This window comes from Homo sapiens, chromosome 14 (assembly GCF_000001405.40).
Source record: "Homo sapiens chromosome 14, GRCh38.p14 Primary Assembly".
NCBI classification, from domain to species: domain Eukaryota; kingdom Metazoa; phylum Chordata; class Mammalia; order Primates; family Hominidae; genus Homo; species Homo sapiens.
The window spans coordinates 31,023,020-31,046,942 of NC_000014.9; the positions used below are offsets into that span (position 1 = coordinate 31,023,020).

The 23,923-nt window shown below is 42.8% G+C and overlaps 2 protein-coding genes across 13 annotated transcripts in view, besides 6 other annotated features; one reads left to right on the forward strand and one right to left on the reverse strand.

Annotated features, from left to right (window-relative positions):
* The window catches only part of STRN3 (striatin 3), a 132,576-nt gene extending 129,216 nt beyond the window's left edge, over nucleotides 1–3,360 (reverse strand). For all 4 annotated transcript variants that reach the window (NM_014574.4, XM_005267569.5, XM_005267570.5 and 1 more), the window contains exon 1: nucleotides 2,885–3,360. In NM_014574.4, coding sequence (NP_055389.3) covers nucleotides 2,885–3,166 — 282 coding nt within the window. In that variant the 5' untranslated portion in view covers nucleotides 3,167–3,360. The remainder of the gene's footprint in view (nucleotides 1–2,884) is intronic.
* AP4S1 (adaptor related protein complex 4 subunit sigma 1) overlaps nucleotides 2,087–23,923 on the forward strand; it is a 71,345-nt gene continuing 49,508 nt past the window's right edge. For 4 of the 9 annotated variants that reach the window (NM_001128126.3, NM_001254727.2, NM_007077.5 and 1 more), the window contains exon 1: nucleotides 2,630–2,768. The gene's annotated coding sequence lies outside the window, so the exon portion shown is untranslated. Of the gene's footprint in view, nucleotides 2,280–2,629; nucleotides 2,769–3,623; nucleotides 4,299–9,951; nucleotides 9,988–23,923 lie in introns of those variants that run through there. The other 5 variants (NM_001254728.2, XM_011536372.4, XM_011536371.4 and 2 more) reach the window with 4 other exon arrangements.
* Nucleotides 2,309–2,408: an enhancer, noted in NCBI's record as "active region_8227". NCBI's record gives its function as "activates an Ori minimal core promoter by ATAC-STARR-seq in GM12878 lymphoblastoid cells {active_cell/tissue: GM12878}" and the evidence as "EXISTENCE:reporter gene assay evidence [ECO:0000049][PMID:35858748]".
* Nucleotides 2,479–2,588: an enhancer, noted in NCBI's record as "active region_8228". NCBI's record gives its function as "activates an Ori minimal core promoter by ATAC-STARR-seq in GM12878 lymphoblastoid cells {active_cell/tissue: GM12878}" and the evidence as "EXISTENCE:reporter gene assay evidence [ECO:0000049][PMID:35858748]".
* Nucleotides 2,578–2,759: a silencer, noted in NCBI's record as "fragment chr14:31494803-31494984 (GRCh37/hg19 assembly coordinates)". NCBI's record gives its function as "represses an EF-1alpha promoter that drives an FKBP-Casp9 reporter gene in an ReSE screen in phorbol 12-myristate 13-acetate-treated (for megakaryocytic differentiation) K562 erythroleukemia cells {active_cell/tissue: K562(+PMA)}" and the evidence as "EXISTENCE:reporter gene assay evidence [ECO:0000049][PMID:32094911]".
* Nucleotides 2,899–3,158: a silencer, noted in NCBI's record as "silent region_5650". NCBI's record gives its function as "represses an Ori minimal core promoter by ATAC-STARR-seq in GM12878 lymphoblastoid cells {active_cell/tissue: GM12878}" and the evidence as "EXISTENCE:reporter gene assay evidence [ECO:0000049][PMID:35858748]".
* Nucleotides 3,249–3,568: a silencer, noted in NCBI's record as "silent region_5651". NCBI's record gives its function as "represses an Ori minimal core promoter by ATAC-STARR-seq in GM12878 lymphoblastoid cells {active_cell/tissue: GM12878}" and the evidence as "EXISTENCE:reporter gene assay evidence [ECO:0000049][PMID:35858748]".
* Nucleotides 3,699–3,858: an enhancer, noted in NCBI's record as "active region_8229". NCBI's record gives its function as "activates an Ori minimal core promoter by ATAC-STARR-seq in GM12878 lymphoblastoid cells {active_cell/tissue: GM12878}" and the evidence as "EXISTENCE:reporter gene assay evidence [ECO:0000049][PMID:35858748]".

The window sequence follows — 23,923 nt, forward strand, 5'->3', positions numbered from 1 at the left end:
GTCTGGAATAGTAATTTGCAAATCCTAGTGTCTTTTCCATGACAAGATTTTAATGAATCTACTATGAAATTACAAAAAAGAAAAGTGTAGTGTAGTAATTTTTCTCTTTAACAGGCACTACTGTGAAGAAAGAATCACTTGTAGAACTCTAAAAAATATGCAGGCCTCTTATCCTCTGGAGATCTGGATTGATCTAGGGCTTGAAGAAAATGGACTGTCTGTGGAATTTTGGTAATTCATGTTATATAAAAGTTAAGAAACCACTGTCCTATGACCTTACTAACAATGCTTTACCTGAGTCTAAGGTAAGGAAGAATCAGAGACAGAAGAGCTTTAAGATGTGATCCTTTAGTTTGGTTCCAAGTTTCTAAGACAGACCTTTACTCTAAATTCTTTTTACAGAGAACAGAATCATACTGTAAAGTTCCTTTTAATATCTTTCCCAAAGCCAGGGAAAATATTATTCCCCATTAAAATTTTACATCAATATGGGGTATTCCTTAAGCTCTTCACGTTCTCTATTGAAACTATTCAATAATTAACACTTTAAAAATCTGTGTACATGACAGTGCACTGGAGACTGTACATAATAATATGTAAGTTGTCTTATTTCTAGATTGTCTTTCTTAAAAATAGGTTTAAGTTTACAGTAAAAATCCACTGATGCTTCACTACACCCTCCCACAAATATGTATTCAACACATACATTTTAAAATACGCATCTCACAAGCAATCTCAGTAGACTGAAGGCACCTAAAGCAAACTAGAAACCTTATTAAGTTAACCCAATAAAACATTTTAAATATATAACTCAAAAAAAAAAAAACCAACGCCATCATGAACATTTTATTCCAAAAGAATCAGTATGAAATAAAAAAGAGTCTAGAAACACTGTAGGACTTCTTCAAAACAAGGAAACAAACAAAAACTTAGGATGGCTAATAACAGTACTGTACCAATAGAATTGAAAGCAAGCAAGCAAGCAAAAGGAATCTACCTTAAAACACTGCTGCTGCTGTTAAGGAGACCTAGAAGGGAAAGCAAATGCTAGAGCAGGCAATAAAGGCTTCTTTAATATATAGTATAGGTTTTACTAATTTGGGCACAAGATATCTTTCTTCTCAGCTGCTTACATTAGTGAAGTTTATGGGTGAAAAATGCAATTGCTAACTTGAAGAGTGTTGAAATCCAAACTTGCATACAACAGTACAAAGGTCTAAGAAACCATAGCAGGGACTGGTGAAGTATTATTTAGTGAGCTTAGGCCTTACTGCATTTGTCAATCCAAATTTTAAAAACAAATGCCTTACTTACTTTACTCACACAGAAAATTAAGTTTGCAGTATGTAGTAGAAAGCTGTATACCAACAGAATTCTATAAATTTTAAGTATGTTAAAGCAGACTGTACACAACTTAAACCAGTTTTGACTTCAGCTTTTTTAAAGTTATGTAATTTTAAAGCCCAATATTATATCAAAACACAATTGTAAAGCACTGAAATGACTAACAAGTGTTACTTTTTTTTAAGACTTCATACAGTGTCAAAATACCCAAGTATTTTTTACTTTTGAAAAGTTTAACTTCACCCACTTTGTGGAGTCATATAAAAGTTTACTAGTTCAGAACCAAACTAAAGAGATGCATATTTGAGGACACCCTTTCTAGTTAATCCAATCCTCCTCCTTTCAGCACTACATTTGCCTAACGATTCACCATAGGCATATGACATATATGACAGCAAATACTGCTTACCCCCTAAATACACAACAGTCTGAAGAACAGGTGCAATACTATTTAGACACACGCTTTTTCCTTCTAAGCCTAAATTTGCCCTGGAAAGGTATTTAAAAATAAACACAAATACCCAAGAAAGTTAAATAACCCTTTCAAAAAGATGCAGCAATTTTGAGATCCAGGACATGAGCTGTTAACTACCAACAGCTTCCAAATGTGCAGCCTATCAAAGGTTCACATTATGAGGATCGAGTCAAGCTCAACTATGAAGGGTTCCGAGAACATCTCACTTTGCTTCTCCTGCAAGAGTAAGTAACATGATATAACTACGTTTCACTTCAAGGGAATATTAAATCTCTTCAGTCGTTTCATAAATACAGCATCGATCGTCTGGTTTGGTTTTTTTATAGATAAAGAAACGGATGGGGGAAAGGAGATCTAGTGGAGAGTACTGTAAAAAGAAAAATTCAGTGCTGAAAGCGTTGATGAGTCACTAAGTAAGGAATAACTACAGAGAATCCAAGTGAGTAAGGCAGCATCTCAGGTGAGAAAGTACTTAAAGTTGACGATGGGAAATAAAACTTCACAGGTCAGTCCCAAGTCACTGTGCACCCTAGCAGCCCAGGAAAGAAGCGTGGCTGTCAAGGGGCAAGCGCGTACCAAGTCTGAGGGAGGGGGCCAGATACGCCAAATCGGAAAGGGGGGTGGTCCGGAAAAGGGGGGTAAGATGCCTATCCTAGTCCCTCTCTTCGGGCTCTTCATCTCAAGAGGAACAAACAAGAGCAAACTCAGTGTTGAGAGGCCCCAAACCGGACTCTCCCACAGAGAGGTGCTCGGTCCCAAGCCCCGGAGGCCCGGGAAGGCCGCCTCCGGAGGAGCCCCCGCAGACGCCATACTAAAAGCCAAAATGGCTGCCCCGAGGAGGCCCGCACCGCGTAGCCAGTGAAGGTTGGGGAGCAAGCTTATGCGGGAAAGAGGGAGGGGGACTCCAGGAAAAGCCGTTGAGAGGACCATCACAACCTGAGCAGCACAGGTAGGTTCCGCTCGGCCTCCCAAGGCGCCGGCTCCGGCTGAGTGGAGTCCCCAGCCCCACCCCCCGGCCGGGAACCCAGCCGCCGCAGCTCCCGCACACCGACCCCAACGAGGTACCTGCAGTTCGGCCCGTTCCACCTCCCAGTGCGCCCGCTCCATCTCGAACCGAGCCCACTCGTGCTGGATGTAGTGCAGTATCCCCGGGATAGTGTACTGCTGCGGCCGGGACAGCTCGGGGCCTGCCGCGGGACCCGCTCCCTCGGAGGCCGGAGGACCCCCGCCGCCCGCCGCTCCGTTCCCCCCGGGCGAAAGGCCCAGGTTCCCCCCAGGTCCCTGCTGCTGCCGGGGAGGGGCCGCCATCCCCGGGCCGCCACCACCGCCTCCGGCAAGCTCGTCCATTGTGTGTGGGGCCCCGGCCGGGGCGCAGGGCGAGACGCCGACAGCTGGGGGAAGGGCCGGAGAGGGTGGCCCCGCGCTGGCTGCGGGGCGGAGGCCGGCCGGGAGAGGGGCGGGGAAGGGGTCGTTGCTGTGTGCCTGCCGTGGGTCAGAGCAGGGAGCTGCCGGCTGCCGCCATTACAATCCCTCCTCCATCTGCCCGTCTCACTCACTCACTTTAGGGGAAGGGGGGGCCTCGGCGGGAGGGGTGGGGGGAGAGTTGGGAAGGGGATAGGCGGAGGGCCGTCACTAGCGCACAGCATGCTGGGTAGCGAACGCAGCCTCACGCTTAATCGCCAAATAGAGTCCGGCCTCACCCTACGCCGGCGCACTGAGAACGCAGCCCGGGTCGCCGTTAGAGGGCGGGGAAAGAGCTCGGGCTCCGCCCCTAGGCCCGCCCTCAGACCCGATCCGGTGTCTGGCCGCAGCTACCGGACACCTGGGCTCCGACTCTGACTTTTGGAAGCGAGGCGGCCTTAGGCTTCCTGGTTATCAGTTTCCTTTTAGCAGGCCGTCCCCGGGCGCTGTTTCCTTCCCAGGGGTCTCTCACCCGTGTCCCGGCTTTCTGAGCTGGTTGTTAACCTGGCTGGTCGCTCTGGCCGACCGCATCCCGTCTCGGATTCCTGACGTTTCTTTTTCATTCTTTGAGTGTTTCAGGCAGTCCCAAGGGTGGGCCCTCTTTCCCTTCCTGTCACTCGCTCTGCCTCTGGTTTCTTAGAACCAGTCAGTTCTCTGCTGGCAAATAGCCAAGATCCTCCGGCTGTGGTTACTGATTCCTCGTCTCTGTCTTGAGCCTGGGCTTTGGTCCCATTTCTATGCGCTCGGTCGCCCGTCGTAACTTATTCCACTTTGCGTCCCCTCTTCTTTCCTTTTCTGGAATGGGTTGTGGGGGGGTTGGGAGAGGGGGAGGAGCGATTTTTTTTTTCTTGGGAGAAGAAGAGGTAGTGAATTCCTTTAGATCTTGACGATGATGGGTAGAGGGAGAGAAGTTTGAAGGAGACTGGCTAGACTAACAATTTGATACGGTAGAAATGAATGGGCTCACAAATATTGTCATCAATAGACTATTTTGATCGAAACAGAAAATAAAAGCACTGTGAGTACAACTTAAAATCCTAGATGAATGTTCTCCTGGGTCATTAAATGTTTAAGTGAATATGGCCGGGCGCGGCTGCTCAAGCCTGTAATCCCAGCACTTTGGGAAGCCGAGGTGGGCGATCACTTGAGGCCAGGAGTTCGAGACCAGCTTGGCCAACATTGTGAAACCCCATTTCTACTAAAAATACAAAAATTAGCCGGGCATGGTGGCGCACACCTGTAGTCCCAGCTCCTGGGGAGGCTGAGGCACGAGAATTGCTTGAGCCCAGGAGGCTGAGGTTGCAGAGAGCCGAGATCGCACCACTGCACTCCAGCCTGGGCGACAAAGCGAGACTCCGTGTCGGCAAAAAATTTAAAAAGTTTGAGGAATGTAACATATACATAAGAGACAAGGCTAATATTTTAAGTACAATAGTGGGTACTTTTATGTGCTTAGTTTCCTAGAAAATATCCTAATGCACTAGTGTGTTTCTAAAAATTAATATAGCTAAGAAGCATTTGTTTGAAAAATAAGACAAAAATAATTAACAACATAAGGAAATTAGGTTCAGTAATTATATTAATAGCGATGCAGGAAAATTGCATTGAAAATTTGTTACTTTTTAAAATTTTTTTTCTTTACTGCAAAAGCCAATAAAACTTGTACTATGGAGTATGCACTACCAACCAATCAGGAAGTAATTTCAAAAGAGATTAAGTAATGCATCTTATTTTATCACATCTGCTTTACTGTTATTACAGTTTAATGGAAAGCAGATTGGACCTGTTACTCATGCTGCCATGTTTTATTTCTATATGAAATGAGATCTTAGATTGCAGTACTATAATGTTAAGGACCATTTCTTCAAATTATTATTTTATTTATTTTTTTTTTTTGAGACAGGGTCTCACTCTGTTGCCTGGGCTGGAATGCAGTGGTGTGAGCTCTGCTTGTTGCAACCTGGAGCTCCCTGGCTGAGGTGGTCCTCCCACTTTAGCCTCCTGATAGCTGGGACTCCAGGTGTGCATCCACCAAGCCCAGCTAATTTTTGTATTTTTTGTAGAGACGGGGTTTTGTCATGATGCCCAGGCTAGTCTCCAACTCCTGGCTCAAGTGGTCCACCCACCTTGGCTTCACAAAGTGTTAAGATTACATATTTCTTCAAATTATTAAAGTACTATTTATCTTAGAGTTACCAACATACAACCTGTTTATTCATCCAATTCCTTTTTAGGGGGCGTCATAGCACATAAAAAGCTCAGAAAAATTATGCTGCCTCAAAGACATACACACACATACACACACACACACACACACACAGAGACATTTGTGGCCAGGTGCGGTGGCTCACACCTATAATCCCAGCACTTTGGGAGGCCGAAGCGGGCAGATCACTTGAGCTCAGGAGTTGGAGACCAGCCTGGCCAACATGGCAAAACCCCGTCTCTACCAAAAAGTACAAAAATTAGCTGGGCGTGGTGGCGCTTGCCTGTAATCCCAGCTTCTCTGGAGGCAGAGGGGGCAGTGAGCCGACATCATGCCACTACACTGTAGCCTGGGTGAAAGAGAGAGTGAGATTCCATCCCAAAAACAACAACAACAACAAAAACCATTTGTGAGAATGGTTGACCTGATGATAGCATCAAAAGAAGACTAACATGCACACTTATAACTGGTAACTTGAGCTTAAGGAAAGACTGGATTTCTTATCCTTTTTGTCTCCTCACCTACCCTCAAAACAAAAACAAAATCTCTACTTCTATTATCTACCTTATTAAGTGACACTACATCCAAACTTGAAGCCTAGCAGTCATTCTACTACCTTTCAGTCAGCCCCCACAAACCAATTTCATTCTCAGTAATATCTTTCCTGTGGATTCTATTGTCTCTCTTTATACTTTAGTTTAAACCTTCCCACCTCCATTCTACCCCCACTTTGCACTATCACTGCTGCCTGATTGATCTTCCTAAAACAAAGGTATGATTCTGTCATTCCTCTGTTTAACATAGTTTAGTGATTTCTAAATTTAGTATAAAGCCCAAATTTTAACATAAGCATATAAATTGATCTAGATCCATCCTACAGTCTAATCTACCATAACACTATCATGCCACCTCATTCTTCTCTTCAGCCAAACTGCCACTGTTTTTGGTTCCTCAAATGTATAATGCTATTTCATTCCACAGTAATTTAACACATGCTGTGCCCCATTGCCTATCTTCAAAACTCAGCTCAGATCAGGCACAGTGGCTCATGCCTGTAATCCCAACACTTTCGGAGACAGAGGTGAGAGGATGGCTTAAGCCTAGGAATTCGAGACCAACCTGGGCAACATGGCAAAACCCTGTCCCTACCAAAAATACAAAAATTAGCCAGAGTGGCCACGTGAGTCTGTAGTCCCAGCTACTCTGGAGGCTGAGATGGGAGGATCACCTGAGCCCAGGAGGTCCAGGCTGCAGTGAGCCATAATTGCATCATTATGCCACTGCACTCCAGTCTGGGCAACAGAGCAAAACCCTGTCTTAAGACAAACAAAACCCTTCCCCCACAAAAAAAAAAAAGAAAATACTCAGCTCAAGCATTATTTTGTCCAAGAAGCCTCCATATCCCTGAATTCTTTTGACTCACTATTCTATTGTAGTAGCCTCCCTCCCATGCTTATCTCTTTTTTTCTTTAATCTTTTTTTTTTTCTTTTTTGAGACTGGATCTCACTCTGTCACCCAGGCTGGAGTGCAGTGGCACAATCTTGGCTCACTCCAGCTTCAGCCTCCCCAGCTCAAGCGATCCTCCCACCTCAGCCTCCTAAGTAGCTGGGATGGGACCACAGGCATGTGCCACCATGCCCAGCAAATATTTTTGTATTTTTTGTAGAGATGGGTTTTCGCCATGTTGCACAGGCTGGTCTTGAACTCCTAGCAAAGTGCTGGGGTTACAGGTGTGAGCCACTGCACAGGGCCTTATCTAATAGTTTTTACACTATATTTACACCATCTGTGTACTGATCAGTAACACTGATACTAAACACTCCAAAAGCAATACTTACACATAGTGAGTACTCAATTTTTGCTTTATTCCTTTCTATTTTTTGTACAGAGGGAATCTCACTATGTTGCCCAGGCTGATCTTAAACTCCTGGGCTCAATCTATCCTCCCAGCTCAACCTCCTGAGTAGCTAAGACTACCTGTACACAACATCACTCCAGGCTATTTTTTGTTTTTAATTTTTTGTAGAGATGGGAGTCTCACTGTATTGCCAGGGTTGATCTCTAACTCCTGGCCTCAAGCAGTCCTCCTTCCTTGGCGTCCCAAAGTGGTAAGATTACAGGCATAAGCCACTGAGCCCAGCCCGTTTTTTTTATTTTTTAAGAAGTACTGATTGGCTACGATTTTTCAGGTGCTCTACTGCTCCCTGCTGATCCACTGTGACCCAGACACGTAATCTCTGCCTTCACAGAGTTTCTAGTCTAATTTTAGGCAAATACTTAGCACCAACCACTCTGGCTTCCTCAATATTTTGTCCTGATCCGTCTTGAAACTACCTTTCTTGAAACTTCAAGTGTGCTGCCTATTTAAAGAATTCCAACGGAATGTGACTACGTTCATTTTAATCATGGTTTTATAAATATCAGTAATGCAATTGATATGGTTTGGCTCTGTGTTCCGACCCAAATCTCATCTCCAATTGTAATCCCCACGTGTCAAGGGAGGGAGGTTATTGGATCATGGGGACGGTTTCCCCCATGCTGTTCTCGTGATAGTGAGTTCTCAGGAGATCTGATGGTTTTATAAAGGGCTCTTCTCCCTTCAATTTCTCCTGTCTCTCCTGCCCTTCATGTAAGATGTACTTGCTTCCCCTTCTGCCATGATTGTAATTTTCCTGAGGCCTCCCCAGCCATGCAGAACTGTGAGTCCATTAAACCTCTTTCCTTTATAAATTACCCAGTCTCAGGAAAGTTCTTTGTAGCAGTATGAAAACGGACTAATACAGCAGTCTTTGACTTCATCCTTCTTAGACCATAAAGTCATTTATCTGAAGGATTGCAGCCTTGTAGAAGGGAAGGACCTCTACCCCTCTTGTTCAAAACTGTACCCCAAGAGTCTGGGAAAGGGTGGATCTTCAAATGTTTGATGAATAACTCAAATTTAGACTAGACTAATATGAATATTTTTTCGTCACGTCAATCATTTTTGTTAGTTGTTACTGTCATTATACCAGTTGTCTCTTAAAGTTCAATAACCAGAACTGCCCTGAGTTTTGAAAGTAAAGAACACCAATATTTCCTCCTCTATTGGAAAAATATTTTGTAAACTCTTGATGTTGTGCTTTGGTTCATGATTCCTGATGACACTCTGGAGAGAGCTTCTAGAATCTTGTCCTCTGTAGATAATGAGCTCACCCAAGCCACATTATCACCTACAACTCACCTAACTGGAACTATCTCCCTAAACTGTGGCTGAGTCATTTCCTCTCTTAAAGCTCACGTTCGAAACTTCCTATTTGTTCTGTCCTTTCATCAGTCCTGTTCATGCCTCCTCCATGCCCATAGATTCTCCCAGTTTCAATCTGTTGCTGATAATCTTCAACAATGCCTATTTGCCAGCCTATGCAACATGGGGAGACCCTGTCTCTACAAAAAATAAAACAATTAACTGGGCGTGGTGGCAGGTGCCTGTAGTCCCAGCTATTTGAGCGCGGGAGGTTGAGTCTGCAGTGAGCTATGATCACACCACTGGGTGCCCAGCCTGGATGATAGAGTGAGACCTTGTCCCAAAAAAAAAAAAAAAAAAAAGAAAAAAGAGCTGGGCGCGGTGGCTCATGCCTATAATCCCAGCACTTTGGGAGGCCAAAGCGGGCAGATCACCTGAGGTCAGGAGTTCGAGACCAGCCTGGCCAACATGGTGGAACCTCATCTCTACTAAAAACACAAAAAATTAGCCAGGCATGGTGCAGGCGTCACCTTTGAAACTTCCTAAATAGGGTGTCTAATCTTGGACACCGTATGCTTATTCTATTTTGGACCAGAGAGGAACTTTTCGTATTTCATGTGCATGTATGATGTCAACAAAGATAGGTTAAGGAATTCCAGGCTTTTAAATAAATCAGAAGTAGATAAAACTCAAATGTCTTCTTATCAGTTATTACAATACCTGATGTTCAAAGAGTGTTGACCGGGCCTCTGAGGACTGTATAGCTCCCTGTAATTACTCACCCAGAATGTACATTTTTTTTTTTTTTTGAGATGAAGTCTCACTCTGTTGTTGCCCAAGCTGAGGTGCAGTGGTGCGATCTCGGCTCACTGCAACCTCCACCTCCTGGGTTCAAGCGATTCTCCTGCCTCAGCCTCCCAAGCAGCCTCCCAAGTAGCTGGGACTACAGGCATGTGCCACCATGACCGGCTAATTTTTCTATTTTTAGTAGAGACAGGATTTCACTATGTTGGCCAGGCTGGTCTTGAACTCCTGACCTCATGATCCGCCCGCCTCGGCCTCCCAAAGTGCTGGGATTACAGGCATGAGCCACCACGCCCAGCCTCGTACAGTTTTATATCTTGCTGACTAGGTACCTGGCATCCTTCTACCAAAGAGTTCAAATCAATTCACAAACACTAATCTAGTCATCTTTTTTGCATCATCTGCAAAGGCTATAACAAATATTCTTATCTCCACAGTGAAGAAAGAAAGCTGAAGAGCTCTTGGTCACTTCAGTAAGTACTTAGTAGAAGTTCTCACTCTTTACATCAGTGAGTGTATATGTGTATTTGGAAACTAGAAAGTCTCCCCGCACAGTTCTGCCTGCTGTCATCCTATCAATGGGTTCATTATTACTGTCTCTGGTTCTCAAATCATTTACATGTTTGAAATTATTTTTAGATAGTTTTGGGGTGATCCAGTCACTCAGGGAAATGACATAGTGTTTAATTTTTTTTTTTGAGATGGAGTCTCGCTCTGTCACCCAGGCTGGAGTGCAGTGGCGTGATCTCGGCTCACTGCAACCTCTGCCTCCCGTGTTCAAACAATTCTCCTGCCTCAACTTCCTGAGTAGTTGGGACTACAGTCATGCGCCACCATGCCCAGCTAATTTTTGTATATTTAGTAGAGACAGGGTTTTACCATTCTGGCCAGGCTGGCCTTGAACTCCTGACCTTGTGATCCACCCGCCTCAGCCTCCCAAAGTGCTGGGATTACAGGCGTGAGCCACTCCGCCCGCCACAGTGTTTACATTTATAAACAGAGAGAGCAAGCAAAGTATTAGACTCCAGAGGAAGATCTTTAAGAAGAGCTGACATGTGTTCAGAAACCAAAGGAGCAAAATGTTTAATGCATGTGTAACAGAAAGGAGGCAGCTCTGACCTGCACCATGCTTCAACCTGCCAAATAAGATCTACTTCTCATTATAGTGATTGACTTTGGCTAAGAAAATTGTAGAAACACAGGCAGGGCACTTGAACCCTTTGGATAATATTCTGTGAGGAAAAGGAAAAGGATCTTCACAGATTACAGAAAATAGATACCAAACCTTTAGGAAACTCAGCATGCTGTATAAAATTGTAGTCCAAGTTTATTCTGTAATTGTCTCCTGGGTATGAGTAAGAAAAAAAATAGGCTGTGATAATATTGTTTAATAGCTAACTCATAGAGATGTCAAAATTGAAAAGAAAAAGAAAGGATTGCCTGGAGCCAAGTCCCTCCTGGACATTGGCTAAGAATGAACAACCAGGTCTGTAAACATAAGAGCAAAATGACTGGAAGATGTGACTAATTGGTAAATTGCCAAAAGTTTGCTAGGTAATAATTTAACAGGCTTGGTTTGTCATTGAAGCAGCAGGGTGAGTATTCCAAAGAATGACACCAAACATGGACACCTGGCCCAGTAAATCTATGCTAAAGACAGTGTTCCTTTGGAGAATATGTTAAATTGGCAAAAAGTCACAAAAACATATTTTTTATAACAGCATATTTTTAAATGATGGTAACCTTTAGTTTTGGCTTTCTGTTAGTAGAAAGTACATGACAATTATCTTAACAAAAAAAAGACTGAAGAATTATTTATAGGCATTTAAAATAACTCCTACTTCTCTTTGCTTCTTTTGTTTTATAGTTTTTATAGTTTCGTAACAATTGGATATTTAAAATTGTGTTATACAGTGTTGTGCATAGACTTTTTTTGGGGGGGAAACAAACTCTCACTGCATTGCCCAGGCTGGTCTCGAACTCCTGGCCTCAAGGGATCCTCTTGCCTCAGCCTCCCAAAGTGCTGGGATTACAGGCGTAAGCCACTACACCTGTGCCTAGAAGTTTTGTACTTAATTTTTTTTTTTTTTTTTTTTTTTTTAGACAGAGTCTTGCTCTGTCATGCCCAGCCTGGAGTGCAGTGGTGTGGTCTCGGCTCACTGCAACCTCCGCCTCCCGGGTTCAAGCTATTCTCCCACCTCAGTCTACCAAGTAGCTGGGATTACAGGCACCCGCCACCACGACCAGCTAAATTTTTTTTTTTTTGTATTTTTAGTAGAGACAGGGTTCCACCATATTGGCCAGGCTGGTCTCAAACTCCCGACCTCAGGTGATCCACCTGCCTTGGCCTCCCAAAGTGCTGGGATTACAGGCATGAGCCACCGTGGCCAGCCCCACTTAACTTTTTATTTTGAAGAACTTCAGTTATGGAAAAACAACAACAAAAATCTGATGAACTCCAATTACAAGATTTTGCCATTCTTATTTCATCTACTCTACTTTTTTTCTGTGTGAAGAAATGTTTAACGTAAATACCAGACATTATATTATTTCATTAGTACATAGTTCTCTAAGTATCTTTAACAGATTAGGAGTTTTTGCTTCTTTTTTTTAGCAAAACACCATACCATTATCACACCTACAAAATTAATGGTAATTCCTTTTTTTTTTTTTTTTTTTTGAGATGGAGTCTAGCTCTATCGCCAGGCTGGAGTGCAGTGGTGCGATCTCTTCTCACCGCAACCTCCGCCTCCCGGGTTCAAGCAATTCTCCTGCCTCAGCCTCCCGAGTAGCTGGGATTACAAGCACACGCCGCCACACCCAGCTAATTTTTGTATTTTTAGTAGAGATGGGGTTTCACCATTGGCCAGGATGGTCTTGATCTCCTGACCTTGTGATCTGCCCACCTCAGCCTCCCAAAGTGCTAGGATTACAGGTGTAAGCAACCACGCCCAGCCAGTAATTCCTTTATACAATCTAATCCTCAGTCCATATTTGATTTCCCCCAATATCTCAAAAAACAATTTTTTAAAAAAAAGATGGTAATTCCAAATCAGGATCCAAACAAAATCCATACATTTCATTTGGTTGTTACGTTTTTAGGTCTTTTTTTTTTTTTTTGATGTGCGTTTCTATGACCCCCCTCATGGTCATGCCATTTATTTATTGAAGAGACCAGGTTATTTTTTTTATTTTTTATTTTTTTATTTTTTTTGAGACAGAGTCTCGATCTGTCACCCAGGCTGGAGTGCAGTGGTGCGATCTCGACTCACTGCAACTTCCGCCTCCTGGGTTCACTCCATTCTCCTGCCTCAGCCTTCCCGAGTAGCTGGGACTACAGGTGCCCGCCACAAGGCCCGGCTAATTTTTTGTATTTTTGGTAGAGACGGGGTTTCACCATGTTAGCCAGGATGGTCTCGATATCCTGACCTGGTGATCCGCCCGCCTTGGCCTCCCAAAGTGCTGGGATTACAGGCGTGAGCCACCGTGCCTGGCCAGAGACCAGGTTATTTATCCTGGAGAATTTCCCACATTTGGATAATTACAATTATGTTATCATTTAATATATTATTTCCTCCTCCATATTTTCTATTTTTATTTTAAAAAAATAATCTAATATATTGTTGCATCACGAATTAGTAACAAAAAAGAAAAAAATAATAATTTAATAATTTGTTCAATAGCAATAGATAACCAAAAAATAAATAAAAAGAAAAAACTAATAATCTAAAATTTTTGATACAGATGGGATCTCACCCAGGCTGGCCTCAAATTCCTGGGCTCAAGCAATCTTTCCACCTTGGCCTCCCAAAGTGCTGGGATTACAGGTGTGAGCCACCGTACCTGGCCCATATTTTTTATTAAGTGTTTATTTTTTATTTTCTTGGCAAAAAAATGCTTATTTGGGGATACAGCATACTTCCTGTGGCATCACACCAGCTGGCACATAATGTCTAGCTATCTGAATTTTAGTAATGTTACTAAATTTGATTAGCCTGACCTAGCTATTATTGTCAGCTTTAGCTAGCTAGCTATTAACATACATACTGTATTCTACCTTGCTCAGTGAAGGGCCTGTCCTGCAAAGGAAATTCCACCAGGTGTTTCTGGGAGCTTTAGGCTCATTCCCTTGCAGTCCTTGGCAACAGGGACCCTACCAGGCCTCCTTCCAGTTCCCACTGTGATTCTTAGTTTCACACTCACTTCTAGTGGGGCTCCTTTTTTAGGTGATGACTTAGTGATTTCTGGGTTTCTTGGTTCTTGTGATGCTCTCAAGTCCTCTTTTTCTTTTTTTTCTTTTAGATGGAGTCTCGCTCTGTCGCCAGGCTGGAGTGCAGTGGTGCAATCTCGGCTCCTGTAACCTCCACCTCCCAGGTTCAAGTGATTCTCCTGCCTCAGCCTCCCAAGTAGCCGGAACTAGAGGCGCATGCCACTATGCCCGGCTAATTTTTTGTATTTTTAGTAGAGACAGGGTTTCACCATCTTGGCCAGGATGGTCTCGATCTCTTGACCTTCTGATCTGCCTGCCTCGGCCTCCGAAAGTGCTGGGATTACAGGTGTCAGCCACCACGCCCGGCCAAGTCCTCTTTTTCTAACCTCCACTTCTGCCAGGACATGCCTTGCCTTACACACATGCACACACACACGCACACACACCCTTCCCACCCCAACCTCTCCCTCCCACCCTGTATCTTCCTCCTGTTCTTGTTGCTACCTTAGTTTGGCCCCACCAATTAATTAGCATCCTAAAAAACGTTCCAGGGGATGTTTTTTCACATAGTTTTTGGTAGAGATGTTGTCTGTAGATGTTTTCTTTTGCTATCCTAGTTGTTTTCACTGTTATTGTGAGGAGGTTCGGGAAGATCCCAGAATCTGCTGCTGCCATCACCACTACTTTCTTTGCTTCTCTTCACTCTTGCATTTTTAAATTTTAAATTGCCTGCTCTTTCTCCTAAAGTGATATATTGTAGCCCTGCTTTTGAAATATTTTCATCCGACCACTATTAAAGTCATTATGACATTTTTTACTAGTCCAAAGATTGTGAGATACAGAAGTGTAAATTTAAGTATATATATTCTCTGGGCAACAGTTGGGCAGGCTCTTGTCTGACAATTTAAATTTATTTACATTTTTAGCTGGATGCAGTGGCTCATGCCTGTAATCCCAGCACTTTAGGAGGCCAAGGTGGGAGGATTGTTTGAGCCCAGGAGCTCAGACCAGCCTGGGCAACACAGTGAGACTCCTGTCTCTACAAAAAAATAAGAAAAAAATTAGCCAGGTGGGCTGGCATTTGCCTGTAGTCTTAGCTACTCAGAAGACTGACATGAGAGGATCTTGAGTCCAAGAGTTCCAGGGTGTAGTGAGCTATGATCACACCACTATACTCTGGCCTGGGTGACAGAGGGAGACCCTGTCTCAAAACAAAACAAAGCAAAATTCATATTTAGCAAGAGCTGTAACATGTTGCTACACTTTATTGTGAAATTCAAAATAACATAAAGTGCTTCTGGGCTAAGGACAACCAAGCAGGCCACCTGAAAAGTCTCTGTGTTCTACTCTGACGACTGATCTGAATGAGGATGGTACCAAGTTCAGATACACTTCTGTAAACTTGGCTTGGATAACATTTGCCTGGTATGTTTTATTTATTGCAAGTGGAAAGAGTGATTAGCTCAACTTTCTAAAAGAGAAAATCAGACTTAAGAATTTTGGAAGTATTATTAGCCCTAATCACAAATATTAAACACACTATAGTGAATATAGTAATTTAAACTTTATTGTCCTAAATTTTCACATTATCTGATTGAGCCACTTCTTTGACATTTTAGGCTCCCTGTTGAGATCAATTACAAGTAAATAATCTGTTAGAATTGTACCTTTTGTGGTGTGCTCCAGGGTCAAGATCTAAGCTAGCAAAACATGCATATTAGCCATGAAAAGCTTTTATATAGAGGGTACAAAAGGTTGGATTTAAACGAGCGAATGGGGAGTGAAATTGTACATCCATGGTCCTGTTACAGCCATCACTGAATTAACTAGTCTTGAGGCAAACCCAGAGGTAATGAGCTTTGGGTGAGAGCACAGACTTGAAAGCCACATACTAAATGAAACTGGGTCTTCCTCAACCATTTCACTGAGTGACCTTTGGCAAGTAATTAAATTTTCACATCTGTAAAGTGGAGATAAAAAGTCTCTGACTCACAGAGCTATGAGGGGGATTAAATAGATATAGTTAAAGCATTCAAAACAATGCCTGGCACCTAATGAGCACTGTAAGCACTTCCTATTGTTATTATGCTCTGTTCCTGAGTTGGTGAGTTGGGTGGTATTAGCACATTGTATTACCAAGAGTGAGTAATACTGCCTTTCAAGTTATAGCAATGGAAGTCTTTCACGACCACCATCAAACATTGGGAGCATTAATGACTCATTTGTTTTTGTTTTTTTAAATGTAGAGGTTTTTTTTTTTTTTATTGTTTGCTTGTTTGGTTTTTTGAGACGGTCTTGCTCTGTTGCCTTGATCTGTGGCATGATCTCAGCTCACTGCAGCCTTGACCTCCTGGGCTCATGTGATCCTCCCACCGCAGCCTCCCAAAGCACTGGGATTACAGATAAGAGCCATGGAGCCTAGCCTTAATGTAGCTTTTACTTTTTCTTTACTTTTTTTTTGAGATGGAGTCTCGCTCTGTCGCCTAGGCTGGAGTGCAGTAGCGTGCTCTCGGCTCACTGCAACCTCCACCTCCCAGGTTCATGCAATTCTCCTGCCTCAGCCTCCCAAATAGCTGGGATTACAGGTGTGAGCCACCATGCCCAGCTAATTTTTGCATTTTTAGTAAAGACAGGTTCTGCCATGTTGGCCAGGCTGGTCTCAAACTCCTGGTCTCAGGTGATCTGCCCGCCTCGGCCTCCCAAAGAGCTGAGATCACAGGCGTGAGCCACTGTGTCTGGCCCTAATGTAGCTTTTAAAAACACTTAATTTTAACTCAAGAAACACTGTATTTAATTAGGAAGGTCTTAAATACAATAGGTGTAGTTTTGTTTTTTTTTTTTTTTTTTGAGACGGAGTTTCGCTCTGTCGCCCAGGCTGGAGTGCAGTGGCGCGATCTCGACTCACTGCAAGCTCCGCCTCCCGGGTTCACGCCATTCTCCGGGTTCACGCCATTCTCCTGCCTCAGCCTCCCGTGTAGCTGGGACTACAGGCGCGCGCCACCATGCCCGGCTAATTTTTGTATTTTTAGTAGAGACGGGGTTTCACCGTGTTAGCCAGGATGGTCTCGATCTCCTGACCTCGTGATCCGCCCGTCTCGGCCTCCCAAAGTGCTGGGATTACAGGCGTGAGCCACCGCGCCCGGCCAATAGGTGTAGTTTTACAGTATTATTTTCTTGTATATTTTTAGGGGAAAATTCACATGGTAATTAATTTTTCCCCAGGTAATATGAACATTAGAGTAAAAGACTTTGTAATGTTGAAACAAATTAATTGCTTATAAATTATGGAGCAATTGTTTTACAGAAACAGTCTCCATAATCCCAGTACTGCACTTAAATTCACTTATAGTCTACCAGTCAACTTGTCAGAGATATAGTTTGTGTAAAGTCAAATTACTCTGCATCTTTTTTTTTTTTTTTTTTCCTGAGACAGGGTCTCGTTCCCTCCCCAAGGCTGGAGTGCAGTGGCCTAGTCACAGCAGGCTGCAACCTCAACCTCCCAAGGCTCAGGTGATCCTCCCCTCTCAGCCTCCCAAGTAGCTGGGACTGTAGGCAGATGTCACCATGCCTGGCTAATTTTTGTATTTTTTGTTGAGATGGGGTTTCGCCATATTGCTCAGGCTAGTCCTCCACATCTTAGTAAGCTTTCATTTATTTGTTTCTTCCTTAACACAAAGCTATAGGAAACATAGGTAAATTAAATTTTAATTCTAAATTCCTTTGGTTTGATTTGAACTTAAAATCTGTAACATTGCACTCGACCTTAAGAACACTCACAGACTTGTCATTTGAATCCTAATGCAGTGCTGTTAGGTGATCACTGCCCATTAAATGAAAAGAAAAATGTACTATATGAGAAAAATCTATTTGCTTTGTATGTCTTTCACAGTCTTTTTTCCTTTTGTTATTGTATTTATTAATTTTCGAGACTATCATAAAACAATTTGGATTTAAATTGTGTCTTGGACCAGAATTTGATGAGACTTTTTGGTCAGTTTACCAAAATGGCTTTAGGTCAAGATCTGCGAGCCACATGAAGCTTTATAAATTTTTCAGATATACTACTAGAAAAATGATAGGCCAGTTTTCTTTGGGAATCAGGATATCTAATAAGAATTTAAAAAATTAGATAAGATGTACATAACATGGTGAAACCCCGTCTCTACTAAAAATACAAAAAATTAGCCAGGCATGGTGGCGGGTGCCTGTAAGTCCCAGCTACTCGGGAGGCTGAGGCAGGAGAATGGTGTGAACCCAGGGAGGTGGAGCTAACAGTGAGCTGAGATCGCACCACTGAGCTCCAGCCTGGGTGACAGAGTGAGACTCCATCTCAAAAAAAAAAAAAAAGTACGCAAATTAAATGTATCAGAATCCAGAATATCTGGTTTGAAATATTTTGTTTGTTTGTTTATTTTTTTGTTTTTGAGACGGAGTCTCACTGTGTCACCCAGGCTGGAGTGCAGTGGCGTAATCTCTGCTCACTGCAACCTCCACCTCCTGAGTTCAAGCAGTTCTCCTGCCACAGCCTCCCTAGTAGCTGGGATTACAGGCACCTGCCACCACACCCAGCTAATTTTTGTATTTTTAGTAGTGAGGGGGTTTCACCTTGTTAGCCAGGCTGGTCTCAAACTCCTGACCTCAGGTATCCGCCTGCCTCGGCCTCCCAAAGTGCTGGGATTATAGGCATGAGCCACCATGCCCAACAGGTTTGAAATATTTTTAATTTGAGGGGAAAACTTGATTCACCATTTATTAGAAATGGGAAGTAATCTGTAGTAATCCTAGTTCTCTGCAGTTTCTCCTTTGTAACATCACATGCATCATGGCTCATTGCAGCATCACTATAGCACCTCCTGGGAGCATCCCAGGCACAACAATCTCTGGTCCCCACTGCCTTTCTCTAAAATTAAGATATTGGATATTCTTATGAATCCAAAAATTTGACAAAGAGTTTTCACCACTAAGCACAAATATTTCACTTGTGTGGCTAATTTAGAACAATTGAGAATAAGATTCCCCTTGCAGGGCTTTTTCTTTGCCATTTCTAACCTATACCCACAGTTTGTCAAAGTAAGTATTTAATTCCCTATTTTAACATTATTTTATTTTATTTTTTGATATGGGGGTCTCACTCTGTTGCCCAGGCTGCATCTCTGCTCACTGCAGCCTCCGCCTCCCAGGTTCAAGCAATTCCCCTGCTTCAGCCTCCGTAGTAGCTGGGATTACAGATGCATACCATCACACCCGGCTAATTTTTTTGTATTTTTAGTAGACACAGGGTTTTGCCATGTTGGCCAGGCTGGTCTCGAACTTCTGACCTCAGGTGATCCACATGCCTCAGCTTCCCAAAGTGCTGGGATTACAGGCATGAGCCACCGCACCCGGCCAACATTACTTAAAATGTCTAAATAAATTACCCTTGGCACTAAAACCAAATAAAAGAAAGATAATTTTAGAAGAAATTTTATTTTGATTTTGAAAGATATTGTTGTCTTCATTATGTACAGTAATGGGAAGCTTGGGTCTGCTTGCGACTAGCTTTTCTGTCCAAAGAGTAGAAGGTAGAATATGATGATCCAAGTTACTTTTAACTTTAAATGTAGGGAATAGATAGCAACAACAGCACACACAAACATGCACACATGGGTACATACACACTCTGGCCATTACCACTTTATATCTTTTTAAACTGTTCTTACCTCCTCTACCATCAGGGAATTCTGCTAGTCAGTTTCTCTCTGGCAAATGCTTGATTGACAGTCTACTCTCAATGTCTCCATCCCCCACTCCACAGACACAGAGATGATTAAGGAGTAAAAATAAAACAAGTACTTTCAATCAATCAATGTAATGGTCTATATATAGTATATAGATTCCTCATCCTCAGTTTTTCTCGCCAGCCTGGATCATATTCCTGTAAAAATCTTTAAAATTCTTTAGTTCAACTCCCTAATTTAGGATAGAAAGTCTGACTTGAACTTCTTTGAAAATACAGTATCCTTTTCAGTAAAACATTTGGCTTCCCTCTGCTTTATTAATGTATACTTTAAAGTTGCAAAGAACTACACTTATTTGGACTTAAATTGTATCTTGGACCAGAATTTGATGAGACTCTTTGGTCAGTTTACCAAAATGGCTTTAGATCAAGATCTGAGAGCCATATGAAGCTTTAGAAATTTTTCAGATGTAGCTGGGCACAGTGGCTCATGCCTGTAACCTGTAATCCCAGCACTTTGGGAAGCCCAGGCGGGTGGATCACCTGAGGCCAGAAGCTCAAGATCAGCCTGGCCGACATGGTGAAACCCTGTCTCTACTAAAAATGCAAAAATTAGCTGGGCATGGTGGTGCACGCCTGTAGTCCCAGCTACTCGGGAAACTGAGGCGGGAGAATCGCTTGAACTCGGGAGGCGGAAGTTGCAGTGAGCCGAGATCATGCCACTGCACTCTAGCCTGGGTGACAGAGCGAGACTCTTTCAAAAAAGAAAAAAAAAAAAGAAAGCAACACACATACCTGTATGTTTAATGCCAAATTAATCAAATATGGCTGAAATATTTGTTGAGTGACTCAAGACTTTAACAGAAAAAAGAAAAAGTTTCATCCAAAGCTACTTCAAATATACTTTGAATCATAAAGGAGGGATTTTGAGAGAGAGACTGAGAGGGGGTAGTGGATGGGAAAAAAGGTAGAATGGAACAGGTACAGGAAGAACAGGTTTCTTGAAGTCAAATTTCAGTAATCTTAGGACTGTAGTAGGGAGAATCTGTTGGGAAGAGAATCTTACCTACACTGGAGAGTAGGATGAGGAGAGAAAGGAGGTTCTGGAGTGTTTCACATTTTCCTTATCTCATTTAGCCCTCACAATAACTCGGCAACAGAGTTAACGTTATTCATAGTTGACAGGTGAGAAAACTGAATCATCGTAGAATTCAAGTAAATTTTGAGGCAAAGAAACAATGTTTTTGTTATGTACAAACATAATATAACAAACTCTGAGGGAGGTGATCCAAATTAGATAAAAATCTGCTACTGACCAGTATTATTTCCTCCCATTTATGGAGAAATTCAGAAACAGCTAAATTATTAATACTTGGAAGCTGATGGAATGAATCAATATGGCATGGCAAAAGAATCTCGCAGTTGCCATTTCCATATTTCCTGAGTTTAAGACATGCTGATTAGATGCTCTTAGCACATCCATTTTGAAAAACAGCACATATTTTAAAGACATATGGCATTTAGAAATGTCACAATAAATGAAACAGTAGCTTAATTGTTTAGGGTAAACATTTATTTTACAGCTAGATAACTTTGTAAAATTATATAATTTAACTCAATGTTTTTAAAACAAACTGTAAGTATGTATGTATGTGACACAAAAAGTAACATATCTCTTAAAATCTGGGAAATTTAAAACCAAGTAACAATATAGAATAAATATTGCCCCTAATCCTACTATCCGGAGTTAAGCAAAATGCACTTTACTATAACCCTTCCTTTTCTACTTATTATGTCATAGTAGTGCTGGACTTTCCAGAGACAGGGTTTCTACATAGTAGCTCACAACTGTTCCAAGGAGTAGGAGAAACACATTATATGTCTGGTAATTTTTTTTTTAAAGACAGAGTCTCACTCTGCTGCCCAAACTAGAGTATTGTGGCATAATCGTAGATTACTGCAGCCTCAGTCTCCTGGGCTGAAGCCATCCTCCTGCCTCAGCCTCCCAAGTAGCTGGAACTACAGGCACATGCCACCATGCCAGGCTAATTTTTTTTTTCTTTTTTTTAATAGAGACAGGGTCTTGCTATGTTGCCTAGTCTGGTTTCAAACTCCCCAGCTCAAGCAATCCACCCACCTCAGCTTCCCAAAGTGCTGGGATTACAGGCCTAGAACCACGAACCTGGACCTGCTAGTTTCTAAAAAAAAAAAATTTGTAGAAATGGGGTCTTGCTATGTTTTTCAGGCTGGTCTTGAACTCCTGGCCTCAAGTGTATATGTTTATTTTTAATGAACCAGGCACTATGCATTTAATTCCATGGTCCTGTTGCCTAATGCATTCCAAGGGTAATCGTTCACATTTCCTAAGATGAACCTTGTGAAGAGTGTCAGGTTTGGGGGCAGACATGACAGTATATTCTTTATTTTAAAAGATACGTTTTCTATAATTTTTTTTTTTTTTGAGATAGAGTCTCGCTCTGTTGCCAGGCTGGAGTGCAGTGGTGCAATCTCAGCTCACTGCAACCTCCACCTCCCGGGTTCAAGCAGTTCTCGTGCCTCAGCCCCCCAAGTAGCTGGGATTACAGGAGTCCGCCACTACACCCGGCTAATTTTTGTATTTTTAGTAGAGACGGGGTTTCACTATGTTGGCCAGGTTGGTCTCAAACTCCTGGCCTCAAGTGATCCGCCCGCTTCGGCCTCCCAAAGCGCTGGGATTGCAGGCGTGAGCCACCACGCCCAGCCTGTTGTCTATAATTTTTTAAAACAACTTTAGGTATAATGTATATACCATAAAAATTTTTATGAACCGTTTTACCACATACCGTTTGATATGGTTAGGCTTTGTGTCCCCACTCAAATCTCATCTTGAATGGTAATCCCCATAATCCCCATACGTCAAGGGAGAGACAAGGTTGAAGTAATTGAATCATGGGGGCAGTTTCCTCCATGCTATTCTTGTGATAGTGAGCGAGTGTGATAGTGAGTGAGATGACATCTGCTGTGACCCTTTCCCCCTTCACTTGGCACTTGTCCGTCCTGCTGCCTTGTGAAGAAGGTTACTTGCTTCCCCGTCGCCTTATGCCATGATTGTAAGTTTGCGAGGCCTCCCCAGCCATGCTGAACTGTGAATCAATTAAACTACTTTCTATTATAAATTACCTAGTCTCGGGCAGTTCTTTATAGCAGTGTGAAAGCAGACTAATACACCATTCAAAATATATAGTTCTGTGGTATAATATGAAATATATTTGGCCTTTGTTCCTGATTCCTGTGACAAAGCCCCTAATACTCTTGAAATTTCCTAAGTAGTAGGTGTGTCTTTTGTTATTCACACTGAGCCCCTTTCATAACCCCTGAGTTTATACTAATAAAGTGACCTAGAGTGAGTCCGTAGATAGCCTCAGGGTGGGGCCAGTCTAGGAAAGACCAAGTGATGAGAGGATCAGAGAGTTGGAAATTTCATCCCCACCCTCCAGCCTCCAGGAAAGGGAAAGAAGGAGCTAGATTTTTTTTTTTTTTTTTTTGAGACGGAGTTTCACTCTTGTTGCCCAGGCTGGAGTGCAATGGCATGATCTCGGCTCACTGCAACCTCCGCCTCCCAGGTTCAAGCAATTCTCCTGCCTCAGTCTCCCGAGTAGCTGGGATTACATACCACGCCCAACTAATTTTGTATTTTTAGTAGAGATGGGGTTTCTCCATGTTGGTCAGGCTGGTCTGGAATTCCTGCCCTCAGGTGATCCACCAGCCTCAGCCTCCCAAAGTGCTGGGATTACAGACATGAGCCTCCACACCCAGCCAGAAGATTTTTTAAATCCCCAAAACAAAGCCCCAACCTTTCTTCTCCTGATCCTGGTAGCCACTAATCTACTTTCTATCACTGTAGATATGCTTTTTCTGGACATTTCTTATTAGTAGAATCATATAATAGGTAGTATTTCTGCATCTGGCTTCTTTCACTTATTATTTTTAAGGTTCATGCATTTTGTTCCCCTTAATTGATGAATAGTTTTCTACTGTATGGATATACCATGTTTTGTTCATCTATTCATTAGCTGATAGAAATGTTTTCATTTCTCTTGGGTATATACTTAGAAGTAGAATTGCGGCCGGGCACGGTAGCTCACGCCTGTTATCCCAGCACTTTGGGAGGCCAAGGCAGGCGGATCACAGGGTCAGGAGATCAAGACCATCCAGGATAACACGGTGAAACCCCGTCGCTACTAAAAAATACAAAAAGTTAGCCGGGCATGGTGGTGGGCACCTGTAGTCCCAGCTACTCAGGAGGCTGAGGCAGGAGAATGGTGTGAACCCAGGAGGTGGAGCTTGCAGTGAGCCGAGATCGTACCACTGCACTCCAGCCTGGGCAACAGAGCGAGACTCCGTCTCAAAAAAAAAAAAAAAAAAAGAAGAAGTAGAATTGCTGGATAATATGGTAAATTTGTGTTTAACTTTTTTGGAAACTGCCGATTTGTTTTCTAAAGTG